The sequence below is a fragment of the Homo sapiens genome, chromosome 15 (genome assembly GCF_000001405.40).
Source record: "Homo sapiens chromosome 15, GRCh38.p14 Primary Assembly".
Lineage (NCBI taxonomy): Eukaryota > Metazoa > Chordata > Mammalia > Primates > Hominidae > Homo > Homo sapiens.
Genome location: NC_000015.10, coordinates 100,385,423 through 100,407,067, shown reverse-complemented (window position 1 = coordinate 100,407,067; position 21,645 = coordinate 100,385,423). Strand labels below are relative to the sequence as shown.

Here is a 21,645-nt window from a genome sequence, read left to right as displayed (position 1 = left end):
GACCCAGTGGGAGGTAATTGAATCATGGGAGTGGGTCTTTCCCGTGCTGTTCTCGCAATAGTGAATAAGTCTCACAAGATCTGATGGTGTCAAAAAGAGGAGTTCCCCTGCACAAGCTCTCTCTCTCTCTTTGCCCGCTGCCATCCATGTAAGATGTGACTTGCTCCTCCTTGCTTTCTGCCATGATTGTGAGGCCTCCCAGCCAGTGTGGAACTGTAAGTTCATTAAACCTTTTTTTCTTCCCAGTCTCGGGTATGTCTTTATCAGCAGCGTGGAAAGAGATTAATATACCCTTGTTCTCTACAGAAATCTTTTGAGAAAGGAAGAGGCACTGACTATGCAAGCATCAACCAAGCATGGCCCTTTCCTGAAAGGCTTCATCTGTAGGAGGGAGTGCTTTTGATCCTGGCTCCCAGCATATCAGAGAAAGCTTGCCTTTCTCTGATGCATCTTAACTGAGGAGATGCCAAGTTTATTCCTCAGTGTTTACAAGGAGGCTTGTTCATTTTGACACCCTTTCTGTGGTGTTGTGGAAAAGCACCGAACATACAGAGATGAGCCCCATGAAGTTGAATTTCTGTGATTCAGCTAGCATAATGTGGGCACTTTGGTTTTTCAAAAGCCATGTTCAGATTACACACAGAGGTATTTGGTTACATATATGCTGAGACTCTTGGGAGGTGGCCAGTTTTAGTCTGCAGGTCACAAAAGGGAAAAAAGAAGTTGTACAGTTATGGATGTCATCTTGAAAAATGATGTGAGAAGAAACAGTCTTCATCTTCCATATCTTTTTTTCTTTTCTAAGCTGGGTTTAATAGAGACATTTGTGAACTGGCCTAGAGGGTGATCCTGGGGTCATGTCTATCACTGGACATGCACAGAGCTTGAGTTATCTTATTTGTTTTAATAATTCATATCATCCTTTATCTTCCACAATGAGGGTGGATCTATAGCACCTCCATCTCCTTTCCTCGGGGCAATGTTATTTTTCTAGATTTCTCTGCAAAATTACTTTGAGACACCATGAGAGAAGAGGAGGAAACATATAACTCATAATGAGTAACTGTCCTTGAAAGAGTTCTTGCATGAAGAAAATAGAAAACATTCTAATTACAAGTAATAAAAATATCCTGACAACCAAAATGCCCACATGAGTAGTACTTTACTTTGCAAGTGTTAGTGGGGAAACCCACAGTATTTGCTTTTTAAAAAGAAATCCTTATAAGTTTTATTTTTAAAATTATTATCAGGAAAATGGACATTTTTCTGTTGATGTAGAGTTTTGTGAATTTTAACATGTGTGTATATTTGTGCAGCCATCCCCATAATCAGGATACACAGCATCATTTCATCAACCCAAATAACTCTTTCCTGTAACCCAGTTCCAGCAACCACTTACCTGTTATCCATCCCTATAGTTTTATCTTTTTGAGAATGTCATGAAAATGATATTCATGTGTTGTACAATAGATCATATTTTGAAACTAACATTTTTTTACTCAGCATAATGTCTTTAAGATTCATCAAACTTCTTATAAATGTCAACAGTTTGTTCCTTTTTATTGTTAGGAGCATTTCATTGTGTGGGTGTTCCAATTGTTTTGCGTCCTTGTCAGTGCTTGGTATTGCCAGTCATTTTAACTTGTGCTATTCTAATGGGTTTGTAGTTGTACATCATCATGGTTTCCATTTGCATTTTCCTAATGACTAATGGTGTTGAACATCCTTTCATATGCTTATTTGTCATCCTGTGTCCTCTTTGATAAAGTGTCTCTTTGTATGCCTTTTGCCCATTTTTTAAATTAGGGGTTTTTTTTTGTTTTTTTTTTTTTTTACCATTGAGTTTTGAGAGTTCTTTATTATGCATACAAATTGGATATGTGATTTGCAAATATTATCTCCCAGTTTGCAGCTTATCCTTTCATTCTCTGAATAGTGTCTGTCTTAGGGCAAAAGTTTTTAATTTTGATGAATTCCAGTTTGCCAGTTTTTTCTTTCATGTTTTTAGTGCCGTGTTTAAGAACTCGTTGCCCAGATCAAGGTCATGGGTTTTCTTCTAAAAGTTTTAAAGTTTTATATTTTACATTTAGATCCATTAAGCTGGCTTTTGTACAATGTATGACATTTTAGTCAAAGTTTACTTATTTGCTTACAGATGTCCAGTTGCTCTGACCATTTGTTGAAAAGACTGTTCTTTCTCTACTGAATTGCTTTGAACCTTTGTAAAAATTCAATCAGCCATATTTGTGTGGATCTATTTCTAGAGCCTCCATTCTGTTCCACTGATCTGCATGTTTATTCCTTTGTGAACACCACCCTGTCTGGATTACTGTAACTTTATATAAGTCTTAAAATCTGGCAGTGTGAGTCCTCCCATTTTATTATGTTTTTCAGAATTGCTTTAGCTATTCGAGTTCCTTTGCCTCTCCATATAAATTTTAGAATTACATTGTCTGCATCTACAGAAAATTCTGCTGGGACATTGATTAGTATTGCGTGGAATCTACAGGATAATTTGGGGATAATTAATACTTTCATTATGTTCAGTCTTCCAATTCATGAACATAGTATGTCTCTCCAACTATTTAGGTCTTCTTTGATTTCTTTCAAAGAATTTCAGATTTCTCTCTGAATTTTGTAGGTTTTACATACAGATCCTATACATGGTTTGTTAGATGTATACCTAGGTATTTGATTTTTGAAACTATTATAAATGGCACAGATTTTTAAATTTCAGTTTTTAATTGGCCACTGCTAGTTGTATTAATTTCTATGGTGACTGTAACAAATTTCTACAAATTTGGTGCTCAAAATAACAGAAATGTATTCTCTCACAGTTCAAGAGGTCAGAAGTCCATAATTAGTTTTGAGCCAAAATCAAGGTGTCAGTTAGCAGGGTCGTGTTCTTTTCAGAAGCACTAGAGGAGCATCTGTTCTTTGCTGCTTCTAGCTTCTGGTGGCTGCCAGCATTTCTTGGCTTGTAACTGCATCATTCCAGTCTCTTCTCTGTCTTCACATTGCCTCTCTTCTGTGTGTTGGCCCTTCCTCTGCCTCTGTTTTTATAAGGACCACTTGTGATGCCATAGAGGGCCCACTTACATAATCTAGGATACTATTCTCATCTCAAGGATCTTAATCACATCTGCAAAAACTTTACACAGGGTAATTCTGGCCTCATAAAATAAAATGAGACCTGTTCCCTCCTCTTCTATTTTCTGGAAGTGATTGTGGATGTTTTGTGTTATTTCTCCTTTGTGTGTTTCATAGAATTTACCAGTGTAAACATTTGGACCTAGTGCTGCTGTTTTTCAGGTTTTTGATTACAAATTAAATGTCCTTCATAGTTATATGACTATCCAGATTACCTGTTTCGGCTGGGGCAAGTTTTAGTAGTTTGTAGTTTTTGAGAAATTGGTCCATTTTATCTAAGTTGTCAAATGTATATGCATAGAGTTGTTCATAGCATTCTGTTGTTATTCTTATATTGTCTGCAGTATCTATAGTCATGTCTTCTTTTTCTTTACTGTTAATTTGTGCTTTCCCTCTTTTTTCTTTATCAGTCTTGCTAGTGAGTTATTAGATCTTTTCAAAGAATTGGCTTTTGGGTTTATTGGTTTTCCTTATTGTTTTTTCTGTTTTCAGTTTCATTAATTGTTTTGTCCTAATTATTTCCTTCCTTTTGCTTGCCTTGGGTTTATTTGGCTCTTCTTTTTTTCTAGATTCTTAAAGTTGAAGCTGAAATTGTTTGAAACTTTTTTTCTTATTGAATATAAACATGTAAAGCTATGTATTTCCTTTTAAGCATATTTTAGCTGCATTGAACAAATTTTGATATGTTGCATTTTCATTTTCATTTAGTTTAAAATATTTTCTAATATTCTTTGAATCTTACCCTTTGACCCAGCGATTGTTTAGAAGGATCTTATTTACTTTCTAAGTGTTTTGAAATTTCCCTATTTTTGATATTGGTTTCTAGCTTAATTCCATTATGGTCTAGAAATATGCTTCGTGTAATGTCAATTATTTAGGTTTGTTAAGGTTGGCTTTATGATCCATGATATAGTCAATCTTGGTGAATGTTTAGTTATTTGGATATTGGGTTTTCCTTAAAGGGAGCCATACTTGAAACTGGCTGTTGGCAGATTTACTCAAGACTCTTCCTGGAAGATTGTCACTCACAGCCAATTCTTTCCTTTGTCTAGAGCATCCAGGATGTGAGGAGTGATGACGAGGATTATGAAGAGGAAGAGGAAGAGGAAGAAGAAGAGGCTACCAAAGGCAAAGAGATGGATTGTTTAAAGAACGGCCTCAGGGCTGAGAGGCACCTCATTCCCAATGGCCAGCATGGCCATTAGCTGGAAGCCTACAGGACTCCCATGGCACAGCATGCTGCAAGTACTGTTGGCAGCCTGGCTTCCAGGCCCCACACCGACCCCACATTCTGCCCTTCCCTCTTTCTCACCACCGCCTTCCCTCCCACCTAAGATGTGTTTACCAAAATGTTGTTAACTTGTGTTAAAATGTTAAATATAAGCATGCCCATGGATTTTTACTGCAGTTAGGACTCAGACTGGTCAAAGATTTCAAAGATTTCTCCACAGAACCGTCTCAGTTCTAATTGCACTCCCTCATGCATGTCACTTTCTCAGGGGCTCGCTTTGTTATAGACCCTTTCGCCTCGCCACCTTGCCTGTCCTCAGGACGCTTTCACAGGTGCTAAGTGATCTCATTTTTCCCAGGTGTGTTTGGCCACAAAGAGCAGCTTCTTTCTCAAAATGAGTTAGAAGTGGCAGTGGGACAGGAGCGGAAGGACCACACCAGGAGACACTTCCATCCTGAAGCTTAGGTGCCTCATCTCCACAGGGCGGTGGCAGTCCCTGCCTGCCACCCCACAGGGTTACAGCAAGGATTAAGTGAGATCACAGAAGTTTAAGTACACACTGTCAACCGTGGGGTCATCGTGAACCAACCCACTTTGCACTGTTTGGGAGACAGAAACCTGGCTAAACATGGCACTGCAATGGGCCTGAACAAAAGGCAGAATCTTTAAAAATTCCTCTTAAATGACTCTGGAGATACCTGGAAATGAAAGTGCCAAGAAAGGTGTTCCATTTTATTTGCTAACTATTTATGCATTAGCTCCCCAAGGGTCATTCTCAGATTCTCCTGGAATTCTTCTCCCTCAGGACCCATGGTTCAAGGAAGGAAGCTTAGGCCCTGTTCCTTCCTGTCCTTTGCTGGTCTTTCCCTTTTTTCCTTTCTAGGAGGGAAGCTTCTGTGCTGCTGCCCTGAGCCCTTCCTTCAGGCCAGCACAGTACCTGGGGACCTCCACGGGGGAATGGGATCCAGGCCAGGTTGCTTGCTGAGCCTCATCACCCAGGAGGCCTGAGCCTCTGGGGAGGGCACGCATGTACACTGCCAGACCCAGGGGAGATCTTGGGAACAGAGGATGCTACGTGATTTCCTCTGGCTTCCAACCCAATCAGCCTGCATCACAGTGAAACACAACACAAAAGGCCATAAAAGGCATACCCCTGAGAAATGTTTAAGGGCAGGTGCTAGAGTCAGTGCCAGCTCCCTGGGAGGAGGGATAGGGACGGGCAGATCAGTAGCCAGCTTGTCCTCACCCTCCGGAAGGGAGCACCGGAGAAGACTTGCACACGTCCCTGCCTCCCTTGCGGCCTTGTCACCAGAGGGACACATCTCCTGGGCACAATGTGCAGGGCTGACCTGGGAGACTTCTCAGGTGGCTGCTGGCTGAGGAGAGGCCAGGCCTTCCCAAGGAAGACCCTGAGTAAAATCTGCATCTGTCCTCACCACCTGGCACAGTCTCTCATAACGGTCAGATTTTGTATGTTCATCCTATTTATTCAGGGGCTCGTACTAGAAAGCCACAGGAGAGGTCGGCTTGTAGGGACTGGAAAATCAGCCCCAAGCAGAGCAGCTGCAGGGCCCCTGGAGCCGGAAGGACACTGCACAGAACAGACTGCGTTATTGTTATTTTTAAATAAAAATATACATTTGAAACCTTAAGGCTAAACAAAAATAAACAAAAAATCCTTTAGAATTCTTTCCACAACAATATCTCTTTCTGAGAAATTGTTACAAACAAGGTCAGATTTTCTCTGTATAACATTTGCTTTTATGAGGACAATATCATATGCATTATATGCATAATATGATATTATAAATCAAAATGCCTGCACCCACTTTAGGGTATAGCTATTGACTTATTATTAATATTATATTATTATTATTTTGCTGGAAGAAGGTCACACTAAGATATAATTTTTTATGTTTTCAGTTAACGGTATGCTTTCTTCTTTGCTTATTTGGTTTTTGTCTCTGTACCAAATATCTTCTTGCTTAAGGTAGAAAAGTATTTGTTTACCTCTATCTCCAGTTTTTTTTCTTATTTGAATGTTGAAGGTAAAATTGATATACCAATTTTAACTATTTCTGATACAGCTGAAAGCACTAAACTACTTCATAAGAAGTAGATACTCATTTTTGTAACACTATTTAGGGCTTTTGTGGTTAATTTTAAAGGAAACCACTCTTTCTACAGGAAACAAGGGCTCAGGATTCTTCAGATGACCTTATAAAAATGCAGTCCACAGTGCTATCAATATTGTAACAGTAATGACTACAATAAAGCCAAAAGTCCAGTGTACCTGGTGATTGAGTAGATTCAGCACACACATTGCTTGGCTTCTTAGGGATAATAACAGGTCTCCCTGTGTAGTGGAAATAAAGATTTGCCATTCCTCCGGAAGGGCCATGCCAGGAATCAGGGAAGCAGTGAGGAGAAGGAAGCCAGGTTGGGATATTCGGGCTGCTGCGTTTGCGGTGTCAGACACCAGATAAGAGGAGCCTGGCTGACATGGGGAGCCCCTTGCCTGATTGGGGTGAGCCTCTGGGCTATGTACGGTGGAACCAGCCAGCCAGCCTGGGGGCTGGAGCCTAAGGAGAGCTCGGCATCTGCACCCTGTGCAGGAACCACTGAAGTGCTAAGAAAGGGGACTGATTCTAAAGGTGTTTTCTCAGCCTCATTTTCTGTATTTACCTTTCAAAGGTGTAGGAGGAAACAGAGTCTAGACTGTCCATCAGAATGACCTATGGAGCTTTAAAAACAAACGCACCTTGCCTGTCTCCTGCTCCACGTTTTGATTCAATATTTCTGGAGTGAGCAGCAAAAATCTTCATTTTAACGGAGTGCCATGTATTTCTGAAGAGCAGTCAAGATTCTGTGTGCCTTCCTCTGGTTTTAGTCCTAGCTGCAGTTTCATATGCTAAGAGCTGGGAAAATGCAATGGTACAGAATATTTAATCCAAAATAAAAGAAGAAAAGGAAACACAGAACAAGCAAGATGAATCGCAAACTCATGTTAAGATGGTGAGTAGGTAGATTTCAGTTCACATTTACCAGTAATTATACCAAGTGTAAAAATAAAGAGAGTGCCAGGCTCGATTTTTAAAAATCTCAATTATACGGTGCTTACAAGAGATACACTATAAAAAAGTGTTGAAAGTAAAAACATGGACAAATATATACCATGCAAACTCCACTCCTCCCCCAAAAAACGCTGGCATAGTTATATCAATATCAGATAAAGGAAAGGAGAACTAGTGGATAGTAAGAGGAATGTTTAATGCTAATGAAAGGGGCTAGGTGCGGTGGCTCACGCCTGCAATCCCAGCACTTTGTGAGGCCGAGGTGGGCGGATCACGAGGTCAGGAGATGGAGACCATCCTGGCTAACACGGTGAAACCCCGTCTCTACTAAAAATATAAAACATTAGCCGGGCGTGGTGGGAGGCGCCTGTAGTCCCAGCTACTCGGGAGGCTGAGGCGGGAGAATGGCGTGAACCTGGGAGGCAGAGCTTGCAGTGAGCCGAGATTGCGCCACTGCACTCCAGCCTGGGCGACAGAACCAGACTCCATCTCAAAAAAAAAAAAAAAAAAAAAAATTTAAATCTGTATACACCTAATAATATAGCTTCAAAATATATGAAGAAAAATTTCACAGACTTAAAGGGAGTAACAAATTCATAATCCTGTTTGGGCGGTTTTTAATACATCTCTCAGTATCTGATAGAACAAGAAGACAAAAAAAAAAACAAAAAAACCAATAGGAATATAGAAGATTTGAACAATGCCATTAACAAAATCCACCTAGTTGATGTATATATAGAACACTGCCCCCAACAACTGCAGAATTTACATTTGTTTCAAGTGCATATAGAACATTTACCCAAATAGGCCATATACTGGCCTTTAAGGCAATTTCCAAAACATTTCAAAGGTTTAAAATCACATGGAATATGATTACAGATAACAGTGAAATTAAACTAGAAATCTATAACAAAAAGATAAATGGAAAAATCTCCACATATTTTTAAATTAAGCAATGCACTTCTAAATAACCTGTAGATCAAAGAAGAAATGGAAATAAAACATTTTAAACTGAATTATAGTAAAAAATGTGTGGGATGCAACTAATAAGAAATTTAGAGAAAAAATTATATTAAAAGCTTTTATAAGTAAAGATAGAGGCTGACAAAATCAGTTGTCTAAATATATCAAAATATAAAGAGGAAAATTAGTAACATGGAAAACATAATAGCTCAGAGTATCAAATAAAAAAAGCTGGTTTCTTAAAGTAAAAAATTTATAAAATTCTAGCAAGACAGATGAAGAAAGACAAAGAGCAATGTTAGGAATGAAAAGGATCCATCACTGTAGACCAAGCAGAAACCAAACAGGTAAGGAGAGAATATTGTGAACAACTTTATGTCAATACATTCGAAGATGTATACAAAATGTATAAAGTCCTAGGAAAACAAAACTTGTCAAAATAGACACGAGAAGAAATAGGTATTTAAATAGTGCTCTATCTGAAACAAAACTGAATCCGAAATTTTAACCCTACCTGCCCACCACCCGCCACAAAAAAAGTCCACGAAAATACTTTAGGTCCAGATCAATGAACTCTTCCAATATTTAAGGAAAAAATAATACAAGTATTATGCAACCTTTTCCAGGGACAAAAGGAACAGACATTTCCAAACTTGCTTTATAAGGCCAGCATAATCTTGCCAAAATCTGACAATAATATTAGAAGAAGAAAGAAACAAAACTATAGGCTAAGTCGATCACGAACATAGGTACAAAATTCCTAAAAGAAAGCAAAATGAATTCAGCAATATATAAACAGATAATATGTGAAAACCAGGTTGGGTTTATTTTAGGAACTTGAGGTTGATTTAATACTTGAAAATTAGTGTTAGTCACCATTTTTATAAAATAAAGGAAAAAGCCATATGTTTAAAAACCTTTATAAAATTCAACATACATTTGTTACAACAAAAACAAAAATCCCTTTTATCAAAGTAGGATGGAACTACCTTAATCTGATAAATAGTATCTTTAAAAAGCGAAAAAGCATTGTAATGCTATAATGATGGAATATTGAAACTATTGAAAACTTTTCCCTCTCAGATTGTTATTAAGACAAGGATGCTCGTGATCTTCAAGGATACCCATCATTCTAAATATAGTTAATATTGTTTCTCTTCCCTCTCCTCTCCTCTCCTCTCCTCTCCTTTTTCTCTTTCTCTTTCTTTTTTTTTGAGACAGAGTCTCACTCTGCTGCCCAGGCTGGAGTGCAGTGGTGCAATCTTGGTTCACTGCAACCTCCACCTCCCGGGTTCAAGCAATTCTCCCACCTCAGCCTCCCAAGTAGCTGGGATTACAGGTGCACGCCACCAGGCCAGGCTAACTTTTGTATTTTTATTACAGACAGTTTCACTATGTTGGCCAGGCTGGTCTTGAACTCCTGGCCTCAGGTGATCTGCCCACCTTGGCTTCCCAAAGTGTTGGGATTTCAGGCATGAGCCACCACACCCAGCCAACACTGTATTTTTCATTCTAGCCAATGTAATATTTCAAGAAATAAACATTACAAGGTTTGAAAGGGAGAAATAAAAGCTGTTATTGGAGATGCAAATATATAAAATAAATTTTGTGTGTGTGTGTGTGTGTGTGTGTGTGTGTAATTTATACAGAAATGCCAAGAAACAAGTCTGGTCAAGACAATCTTTGAAAGAACAAAGTGAGAGAACTTATTCTGCCAAATACTAAGACATATTATAAAATATTTAAGGCAGTTCAAAATTAGTACAAGCATAGGCAAATAGAAGAATAACATTGTTATTAAAGTCCAGGAACAAGTTCACGCATATATGGACAGTTGGCTATCACTAATGATAAAAATTTAACAGAGCTGGGCATGGTGGCTCAGGTGTATAATCCTAGCACTTTGGGAGGCCAAGGTGGGAGGATTGCTTGAGGCCAGGAGTTTGAGACCAGCCTGAGCAACATAGCGAGACCTGCCCCCCACCGTCTCTACAAAGAATAACAAATTAGCTGAGTGCGCTAGCTAGTGTGTTCCTATAGTCCCAGCTACTCAGGATGCTGAGGCTGGAGGATCACTTGAGCCCAGGAGTTGGAGGCTGCAGTGAGCCATGATCACGCATGTCTCCAGCCTGGGAGACAGAATGAGACCTTGTCTCTAAAAAAAGAAAATTTAAACTTGGCCCCTACTTAACAACACCATACACAAAATAAATTCCAAGATTTTTGTATATTTAAATGCAAAAGGTAAAATAATAAAGGTTCCAGAAGGAAACATAAGAGAATATCTTAAAATAAGCAAAGATTTCTTGAACAAAACATCAAGCATTATTTATAAAGGAAAATATTAACATCATATTAAATCAAAATAAAGAACATTTGTTTGTCAAATATGCTATTAAGACAGTGAAAAGCCAAGCCATAGAGTGAGAGAAAATGTTTGCAACACATAGAACTAATGAAAGGTTAACATCCAGAATATTTGAAAAACTCATACAAAAAATAATAATGAAAACATACTGGTCAGGTGTAGTGGCTCATGCTTGTAATCCCAGCACTTTGGGAGGCCGAGGCAGGCGGATCACCTGAGGTCAGGAGTTCGAGACCAGCCTGGCCAACATGGTGAAACCCCGTCTTTACTAAAAACACAAAAATATTAGCCAAATGTGGCAGTGGGCGCCTGATAATCCCAGCTACTCGGGAGGCTGAGGCATGAGAATTGCTTGAACTCGGGAGGCGGAGGTTGCAGTGAGCTGAGATGGCACCACTATACTCTGGCCTGGGCAACGGCAATGAAACTCTGTCTCAAAAAAAAAGGAAATCATACTGACAGCCCAATGATAAAAGCGAGCAAGGCATTTAACCAGACGCTTTAGAAACGACCATATCCAAATGTCCAACACACAGGAAAAAGTGCTCGATTTCATTAATCACAAGAGAAACGCAAAGTACAACCACCATAAAATACCACTAAACACCTACCAGAATATTGATAATTAGATAGTACCAAACGGCAATCACGAGGAGCCAGCTGTGCAGACAGGTGCAGCTGAGGCAGGAGAGGTAGTCAGGGAAGTAACCACCAAGTCCTTGGGATGGCAACTGTGGCAACCGCACCATCAACACAATAAGCCCCAGCACTCATGTTGTAGTCAAACTCATTCAAGCAAAGCTATATCCAGTAGGGAACAACCCCCATAGAGAGCATATGCTTTTTTATTTTACCTGACCTCAGACTGACCCTTTGTTCATAATAATTGTAAAAAACACACCCCTGGGTGGAGATTTAAGATGCTAATAAGACATGCAATATATGAATGTATGAACAAGCATGTACAGCTACTGCGTGTGTGCACCCTGAGGACCACTCAGAACATACTTACTAGTAACACCTCTTCTCACCCTCTTGTGAATAACCATGTAAGACTCCCATAAAACGAGTTGCCCCAGTAACAGGCAACACTGTCTCATCCTTATGAGCAGCCTGCTCTGAGTCCTCTCTCAGGGTGTAGTCTATTCTGCACCTAACTTTGAGAGTATTCTTTGTGATACATTGCTCTATGCTGCATCTTCTTTGCTGTGTCTCTTGTTTAAATATTTTTGAACTAAGAAGACAAGAACTGAGGTTTCATAACAGTCATCAACACAGCAACTTTGAAAAACAGTTTGTCATTTTCTGTAATTGAATATATGTCTATATTATGACCCAGCAGTTTCACTTCTCATTATACAGTTGACCCATGAACAATGCAGGGGTTAGAGGTACTGACTGCCCAGGCAGCTGAAAAATCTATGTATGACTTAACTCCCTAAAAACGTATCTACTAATACCCTACTGTTGACCAAAAGCCTTACCAAGGACATAAACAGGCAATTAACATACGTTTTGTATGTTTGATGTTTTATGTCAACATACTGTATTCTTACAACAAAGTAAGCTAGAGAAAAAGACATTATTAAGAAAATCAAAAGGAAGAAACATGTATCTGCTATTCATTACATGGACGTGCATCATTATAAAGGGCTTCATCCTTGTCATCTTCGCATTGAGTAGGCAGAGGAGGAAGAGGAGAGGTTGGTTTTGCTGTCTTCCAGGTAGCAGAAGCAGAAGAAAATCCATGTAAAAGTGGACCCATGTGATTCAAACCTGTATTACTCAAGGGTCAACTACAGAAACGAAAGGCATGTGTGTGAATAATCCTATCAGCAATGTTCATAATTGCCTAATGGACACTTTCCAAATGTTCATCAAGAGTAGGATGGATAAGTAAACTGTGGTATGTTTATAGTATGAGATACTATATAACACTGGAAACAAACTGGTATTTGCAACAATGTGGCTTCATCACACAATTTTAGTGTTTTGCAAAAGAATCTACTCCAAAATGAATACACAGTTTATGTTTCTGTTTTTTATAAAATTCAGAATCAGTCAAAACCAATCTATGGTGCTAAAGTCAGGGTAGTGGCTATCTCTGAGGTGAAGGGAGGGGCTGTGTCTTTATGGGGGCCCTACAGGCTTTCGCGATGCTGGTGATGTTCTACTTCTTGACCTGGGTGGTGGTTACATGGGTGTGTTCAATTTGTGATCAATCGTGAAATGGTAAACTTGATTTTTATACTTTTCCATATGTATTATAATTTTTAAGTTATTAAAATGAAAAAGGAAAAGCTAGCTACTTTTACCTGAGACAGCTGACATTATTGACCAAAATCTCTTTTTTATAAGAACTTTCAATGCAAAAAAAATTTTTTTAAGTAGACATAAAAGCCCATAATCTTATCACCAGGTAATCGCCATTGGCATAGAAAATAACAGTAATAAAATTGATACATGTGCATCAAGCATTCAAATAATGCAAAAATGGAAAGTAAAAAAGCTCTCTGCACAGTCTCTCTCCCAAAGGGAAGCACGTTGACATTAATTGTGATTCCATCCACAAGCACCCTTATGCCTATTTTAGGAGGTATCCACTGCTCCCTGCCAGCTCCCCAAATAACCTCAACACAACTTGCTGCTAAGACAGCTCCGAGCTTCTTGCTCATGGCAGGAAGGGAGAGCACCTCCTTGACAGAGCTGCGGCACTGCTCAGTGGGGGAAGGACCAGGCCCTACCGCATTGAGCTTTCTAGGACTGGCTGAGGATGGCGATAGCACAGCTTAGGGCTGGTGAAAGCAGCAATGCCAAGGTCCTGAGGTGTTCAAAGAGTCTCAGGGCTTTTAAGGAGTAAGCTGTCTACCAAGGCCTATCACTGTCTTGTGAGAAGGTCCTCAAATGAACAATATAGTTATTTGCCTGACAAAAGTCTTCTGGAATAGTAAATTATACTAATGAAAATAAGGAATACTCAAGTTATACTAATAAGGACAGTGAGCTTGGGGGGTCTGTGGTTTAGGCTCTACTCTGCATACTTATGCCATCTCTGTGTATACAGTTGGCCCTCCCTGTCCATGGTTCTGAATTCATGGATGGATTTGACCAACCATGGATGGAATTTGAATATATTGGGGGTAGGGGGAGGAACTGGGTCTGTACTGAACATGTACAGACGTTTTTTCCTGTCATTATTCCCTAAACAGTACCTTATAACAACTAGCTACATGGCATTAACACTACGATTTCAAGTATACAGAAGGAAAGTGCACAATTGTATGCAAATACTCTGCTATTTTATATCAGGGACTTGAGCATCTGGGGATTTTGGTATCCACAGGTTGGGTGGGGGCGGCCCTGGAACCGATCTCAACCAGACATTGAGAAACAATTATGTTTCTATTATCCTTATTCATAGAAACGCTGCACTAATGTGCCCAGGTGAAGTGGAAATGAAGGCATAGGGCCACCTCTTCTACGTGCCCCCGGGACTATGAATACCCAGAGGCATTGCCGTTACCTAATTTGCACTAAGATTCCATATAGGCTATTAGCACTCTCATGCAATCTATTTTTAAAACACAAAAAGACCTGTGCTCTGAGTGGAACACGCTGGTCTGTACCTTGCTTTTTTATCACTGCTGGGTGGTAGAGAGCTTTCCACATCAGCACAGGTGGACTTCATTGCTGTAGGGGCTGCCCCTAATCCTTAAAAATGTATAATCCTTAGAAATGTATCACAAAATATTTAACCAGTCTCATATTGTTGCAAGCTTGAGCTGTTTCTAGTTTGTAGCTCTTAAAATATTACAATGAACATCCTTGGGAGCAAGTATTTAACCAAGACTGCCTGAGTTAAAATCCCTACTCCATGGTATACTGTGTAATCTTGGGCAAGTCCCTTAATTTCCACTTTTTTTTTTTTTTTTTTTTTTGAGACGGAGTCTCGCTCTGTTGGCCAGGATGGAGTGCAGTGGCACAGTCTCGGCTCACTGCAACCTCCGCCTCCTGGGTTCAAGCGATTCTCATGCCTCAGCCTCCTGAGTAGCTGGGGTTACAGGCTCGGGCCACTATGCCAGGCTAATTTTTGTATTTTTAGTAGAGATGGAGTTTCACCATGTTGGCCAGGCTGGTCTTGAATTCCTGACCTCAAGTGATCCTCCTGCCTTGGCCTCCCGCAGTGCTGGGATTACAGGTGTGAGCCACTGTGCCTGACAAGTCCTTAATTTCTTCACCCTCAGTTTAGTCATCTATAAAAAGGGCATAAGATCTTCCTCATGGTGTCATTTTGAGGATTCAATGAGATGATCCATTTGGGAATTTTTTACCCTGATTTCTTATAGCAAGCCCTCAGTACATGTTAACTCTTCTTACTATTCATAATTACCACAGGGTAAATTTCTACAAGTGAGATTTCTGGGTCAAAAGGCACATACCTTTTTTTCACTAGATACAAATTGCCTTTTTCTACAACATTTAAACTCTACTGCCATTTCTCTGAAATGGGAATCAACTTCTGACCTTTTTGTCTGCCTGACAGACTTAATCTTACCGTGTTTAACTTGCAGATGGAACATTTGTGGTTCTTTTGTTTGCTTGTCTGTTTTTCTATTGGAATAGTGCTCTTTTCCTTGTAAATTTCTATGAGCTCATTATAAATTAAGGGGTTTGCTTTCTTTTCCATCATATGTAATATAAAAATTTCCTAGTTTGCTTTTGGTCTTATGACTTTATACATAAAATTGGGGGGGACATTTTTTTTCCTTTGGTAATAAAATATATTAATCATGTCTTCAACAGTCTTCGGACTCTGTATCTTGCTTGGAAAGTCTGCGCTAAACAGAATTATACTCAAAAACATTCATGCTTCTTTTTATAACTTACATAGGTTGATGAACCCTTTGCTCCATCTGGTATTTATTTTGGTGTAAGAAATGAGGTAAATAGGGGTTTTTAAAAATGGTTTGCTGGTTGTCCCCAAGGCATTTGCTGAGCATTTTTTTCTTTTCCTTTGTGCTTTGCAATGCCACTCTTAAATTATTTTGTGTCTCTTGTCTCTTTCTGGACTTCCCATTCTGTTTCACCGAAGTACTTCCAATACCAAATTGTTTTAATTAGTACAGCCTTATAATAGGTTTTCTTATGGTTAGATCAATAATCCGTTTTTCCTCTTGTCTTTCCCAATATTACTGGCCCATTCAACATCTTTATTTGATTTCCAATATTTATTTTATTCCAAGCTAGAAACTGGATGAATTCTAGTTTTTGTTTTTTGTTAGGCTCCTCTCAAAATCCCAATGGTGTGCTATTTTAAGATTGCTTTAAATTTATACACTTAGAAGAACGGACAATTTATCATATTGAGTATTCCCATCGAAGAGCGAGTTGTCTTTTCAGTTAAATTCTTTATCTCTTAGTAAAATAGGGAATTTTATTTGTATACACCCTGAACATTTCCTTTAACATTTCACGGAGGTAATTTTCTCTTTGATTATTATTGTGAATAAAATCTTTACTTCCTTTTATTTTTTTTAATACTTAGAAAAGCTATTGATTTTTGTATGATAGCTGTGAGATATGCCTCTCCGCTCAAGTTTCTAATAGGTTTTCAGCAATTTTGGGGTTTTCTATGTATAGAAAGTCATCATTTACAGATTATTTGTTACTATATATGATAGTAATAAATCAAAATACTTTATTACTATGTATGATAGTAATAAATTGTCTGTAAATTATAATTTTCCATTTTTTCTCCAATATTTATCTTTTCTTTTTGTGTAAATGCATTGGTTTTTATCTCTAGATTAGTGTTGATACAGACTAGGCTTGTCTTGCTTCTGCCTTTAAAGATTATGTTTCTAGTTACTCACCATTAAGCATGATGATGGCTTTTAGTTTCACACATATATTCTTCCTCTTTTTAGTTTGAAAAATCAGAAATGGGTGTTGAATTGCATATCTTGGGGGTGTTGATTTAGCCCTTTGTCATTTGGCCTGTTAGTCTGATGGTGATAGTTTTTTATTACTGGACTAGCCTAGCATTCCTGAGGTCAGCCCATCTTGGTCACAGTGTGTTATTTTTTCATTTACAGATGGATTTTATTTGTCCACATTTAGCATTTTAGCATAGATTTTAATTTTGTGTTTAAAAATTAACTTTATCTTTCAGCACAATTTTGAGCTCACAGCAAAACTGAGTGGAAGGTATAGTGGTTGTCCATAAACCCTTTCCTCACACCTGCATAGCCTCCCCATAATCAACATCTCTCATTAGAGCAAAATGCTTGTTACAATTGATGAGCCTATATGGACACATCATTGTCACCCTGAGTCCATAGTTGACACTAGGGTTCATTTCTGGTGCTGTGCATTCTATGGGTTTGGGCAAATGTATCATGACATGTAGTCATCATTATAGTACCATACAGATAGTTTCAGTGCCGTAAAAATCCTCTGTGCTCCCCCAATCATCCCTCCCTTCCCCCACCCCGCAGCAACCACAGATCCTTTTACTGTCTCAATAGTTTTGCCTTTTCTAGAAAGTCATATGGTTGGAATCATATAGTCTGTAGCATTTTCAGATTGACTTATTTCACTTAGTAAAGTTAAGTTTCCTCCATGTCTTTTCATTGTTTCATAGTTCATTTTAGCACAAAATAATATCCCATTGTCTGGATGAAGCACAGTTTATTTACCCATTCACCTACTGAAGGATATCTTGGTTGCTTCCAAAGTTGGGCAATTATGAAAAAAAGCTTTTATAAACATTTATGTGCAGGTTTCTGTGTGGACATGTTTCATTTGGGTAAATATCAGGGTGCACAATTGCTGGACTGTCTGATAAGAGTGTGTTCATTTTGTAACACTGCCAACTTGTCTTTTAAAGCGTCTGTACCATTTTGTATTCCCACCGGCAACGGATGAGAGTTCCTGTTGCTCCACATCCTCACCAGCATTTGGTGTTGTCAGTGTTCTGGATTTTGCCCATTTTAATGAATGTGTAGTGGTTTAGCAAAAATTTTTCACTAAAAATTTTTTCTACAGATTTTTATTTTGCATTCTTCTTAATTATTTTGTATAAATATTATGCCAGTTTATAAAGAGAAATTGGAATGATTCTTTCTTTTCTCATTCTGAAATACTTTAAATAGTATCAGGCTTATACATTCCTGGAGAGTTTGAAAGAATTTACTTTTGAAACCATTTAAACTTAACAGATTTTGGGGGTGGGGGTGGGGGGTAATTTTTTTTAAGCTTTCTTAACATCTTCAATTGTTATCAGTCTGTTGGGTAGTCTTCTATCTCAAGGCCAATTTTGCTCATCTATATTTTCTTGAAAACCAATTTCCTCTATTCAGCTTTTCAAATGTGTTTGTATAGATAATTGCAAAATCCTCTGGAATAATTTCTCTGTATTCATGCTTATTTTGCCCTTTTCATTTATAATGTGTGATTGCGCTTGCTTCCTTTACTTCTTGATTAGGCTATACAGTAGCTCATCTCCATGACCCACCCCCCAAAATGATCAGTTCTTATGCTTATTAATTTCTAACTTTATATTCTTTTGTTCTGCTTTCCTTGGTTTATTGCTCCTTTTCTAATTTCTTGAGCTGGATACTTTCTTTTCTTGTTTAGATATGTAGGTGTTTAAGGCTATGAATTTTCCTCCAAACACAGTTTTAGCCCATTTTATACTGTTTTCATAGGTATTGATGTCATATAATTGTTTTAAAGATAGTCTATAATTTTAGTTTTTATTTCTTTGTTGATCCAAGATTATTTATGATAATGTAAAAAATGATAGTTGGTTAATTTATCCCCCATCTATTTTTTTATTTTCTAGATTATTTTTGCATTATAGACAAACCGTGTACTCTCTAATATATTTTGCAATATATCTAGCATATTTTGTTGCCTAATGTATGTTCTAGGGCAGCAGTCCTCAACCTTTCTGACATCAAGGACCAGTTTCATGCGGGTGGGGGGGTGTTTGGATGGTTTCAGGATGAAACTGTTCCACCTCAGATCATCAGGCATTAGATTCTCATAAGGACAGATGTGCAATGTAGATCCTCGACATGTGCACTTCACAATAGCGTCCGTGCTTACAACAGAATCTAAAGCAGCCACTGATCTGGCAGGAGGTGGAGCTCAGGCCGTAATGCTCGCTTGCCTGCAGCTCACCTCCTACTGTGCCCAATGATACCAGTTTGTGGCCCAAGGTTGGGGACCCCTATTCTAGGGGAACTTGCAAATGTATATGCAATTTTGTCAGGATATTATTCAACCTTATCAATTATTTTATTTAGATTCATATTTATTTGGGGTATGTCATGCTTTGACAGAGGTGAGTTAAAATCTTCCACAGTCATAGTTATGATTTCCAATTTCTGCTATTTTTTCATAGTTAAGTTTTTTTATTGCTATATTTTTGGTGCATATCTTATTTGTGATACTTGTAGCTTCAGTGTGGATTTTACTTTTATTAATATGTGTGTCTGCCTCAACTAGTTTGGCTTTTTCTATCTTGAGTGTCACATTGTGAGTTGTATAACTAATATTAATAACTTGATTCCTGATTTCTTTTGAACTGAATTTGTTTGAAATAGTTTTGACTTTAATTTTTATTCTTTATGATTTGATTTGTTTTAATTTCATATCATATATCATAGGTTCTGAAATGTTTCTACCACATTTCTGACACCGTATGTGTGGGTTTTTCCCATTCCAACGACCAGCTCTTCAATTCTTAGGACACAAGCTGTGTGTCCTATAATTCAATTCAATTCTGGCCCTAACTACTTGGAGTCAGTGTCAACTCTGAAGGTTTAAGGGCTCTGATCCACAAGACTGCCCTCACTTCAGTTGCGAGTCCTAGATTGTGACGTATATTTCTGACCAACTGGCTACACACTGGCGATTCCCTCTCATCAGGTTCAATAACTCCCTTGAACAGCTCATAGAACTCAGGAAGGCACTTCACTTATGTTAGTCAGTTTATTATGAAGGATGCAACTCTGGAACAGCCACACTGAAGAGATACGTGGGGTGAGGTACAGGGATAGGGGCACTTCCATGCCTCTTCAGGCACTTCACCCTCCCAGCACCTTGATGGGTTCACAGGCATAGAATCTCTCCAAAGCCTGTCATTTAAGAGTTTCATCAAAGTTTTTTTACATAGACATGATTAAGTCAGGAGCCACTGGTGTTTAACTCAGTATCCAGCCCCTCTCCCTTCCTCAGAGGCCAGGATAAGTTGGAAGGTTCCAACCTCTAAATATGCCTTGGTCTTTCTGGTGACCAGCCCCACTTTATAGGTGTGGCTATAAAGGTGTGGCCAAAGGAACAGCTTTGGCTGTTGACTGTGGTGGTAGGTATCCAAAGCTATGCGTGTGATAAAATTGCATAGAACTATGCATACACACACACACAGACACACATGCACAAATGGGTTCATGCATAATTGGTGAAGTCCAAATAAACTGTGGGTTGTACAAATGTTAATTTTTTGGTTTTGATATTACACTGCAGTTATGCAAAATGCTATCACTAGGGATATGAGAGTGCAGGGTTGCAGGTTGCACAGGACCTCATTTTATATCTTTTTTCTAACTTCCTATGAATCCATAATTATTTTAAAATAAAAAGTTAAAAAAATGTCAAATAATTCCAACATCTGTGTCATTTTGATATTGGCATCATTAATTGTCTTTTCTCATTCAAGTTAATATTTTCCTGGTTCTGGCTGGGTGCGGTGGCTCACGCCTGTAATCCCAGCACTTTGGGAGGCCGAAGCAGGAGGATCACTTGAGGTCAGGAATTCGAGAACAGCCTGGCCAACATAGTGAAACCCCATCTCTACTAAAAATACAAAAAGTTAGCCAGGCATGGTAGTGTACGTCTGTAATCCCAGCTACTCAGAAGGCTGAGACAGGAGAATCGCTTGAACTTGGGAGATCGAGGTTGCAGTGAGCAGAGATCATGCCACTGCACTCCAGCCTGGGTGACAGAGTGAGACTCTGTCTCCAAAAAATATAAAAATATAAGATTTTTCTGATTCTTGGTATAACAACTAACTTTGTATTATATCCTAAACATTTTGGTTATTATGAGACTGGATTTATCTAAGTCTTCTATTTTATCACGCCGTTTTTGACACCATGATGGTGAGGAATAGGAGAGGAGGAGCTGCCTCATTAGTACCTGGTGAAGGTGGAAATCCAGTTTCCTCACTTTGCCAGTGTTGACACCCAGGTGCAGAAGGGTGTATCATTAGTGCTAGGTGAAGATGGTAGCTCAGCCTCCCTGAGACCTCTGCTGACATGCTGACACCACCCTGGCTAGTAGGAGCACTTCATTGCCCTTCCCCACATTGCTTCCACTGACACTGCAGAGTGGGATGAGCGCTCAGTATTGCTTGAAGGTGGTGAAATTCTCAGTTCCCCATCCAGCTTCCTCTGAAACCATCCCAGTGAGGAGAGGAAAAGACATGCAACTGATGGAAGTCTAGGTTCCCCACTCATTCTTTGCTGTGAGGAGCGGGAATGAGGGCACAGTTTTTTTTTCATGGCATTTGGCTGGAGCAGGGAAGTTACACACCACCATGCGGTTCCTTGGGTCCTGAGGGCCCTAGCCAGTCTGCCTTCTTTTCTCCACCTTTCAGTGTCTTCTTTTGCTTGTTTTTCATATAATGTCCAAGGTTTTTAAGTGTACTTAGCAAGAAGAATAGCAAAAAATGCATTTACTCCATCTTGTCCAGCAGTCTTTTCTTTTAATAACTAAGTTTATTCCATTTACATTTATTGGAGTAATACTCCTAAATAATACTCATATGTTTCTTATTTCAGTTTGTTTCC

General features: G+C 38.8%; 1 protein-coding gene and 1 long non-coding RNA gene across 10 annotated transcripts in view; one reads left to right on the top strand and one right to left on the bottom strand.

Moving 5' to 3' along the window:
- The window catches only part of CERS3 (ceramide synthase 3), a 144,289-nt gene extending 137,616 nt beyond the window's left edge, over positions 1-6,673 (top strand). For all 9 annotated transcript variants that reach the window (NM_178842.5, NM_001290343.2, XM_011521357.3 and 6 more), the window contains one exon: positions 4,203-6,673. In NM_178842.5, the coding sequence (NP_849164.2) occupies positions 4,203-4,355 (153 nt within the window). In that variant the 3' untranslated portion in view covers positions 4,356-6,673. The remainder of the gene's footprint in view (positions 1-4,202) is intronic.
- The window catches only part of CERS3-AS1 (CERS3 antisense RNA 1), a 64,976-nt gene that overhangs the window by 30,847 nt on the left and 12,484 nt on the right, over positions 1-21,645 (bottom strand). Inside the window, exon 2 of the long non-coding RNA NR_120374.1 lies at positions 7,143-7,299. This is a non-coding gene — a long non-coding RNA (CERS3 antisense RNA 1). The remainder of the gene's footprint in view (positions 1-7,142; positions 7,300-21,645) is intronic.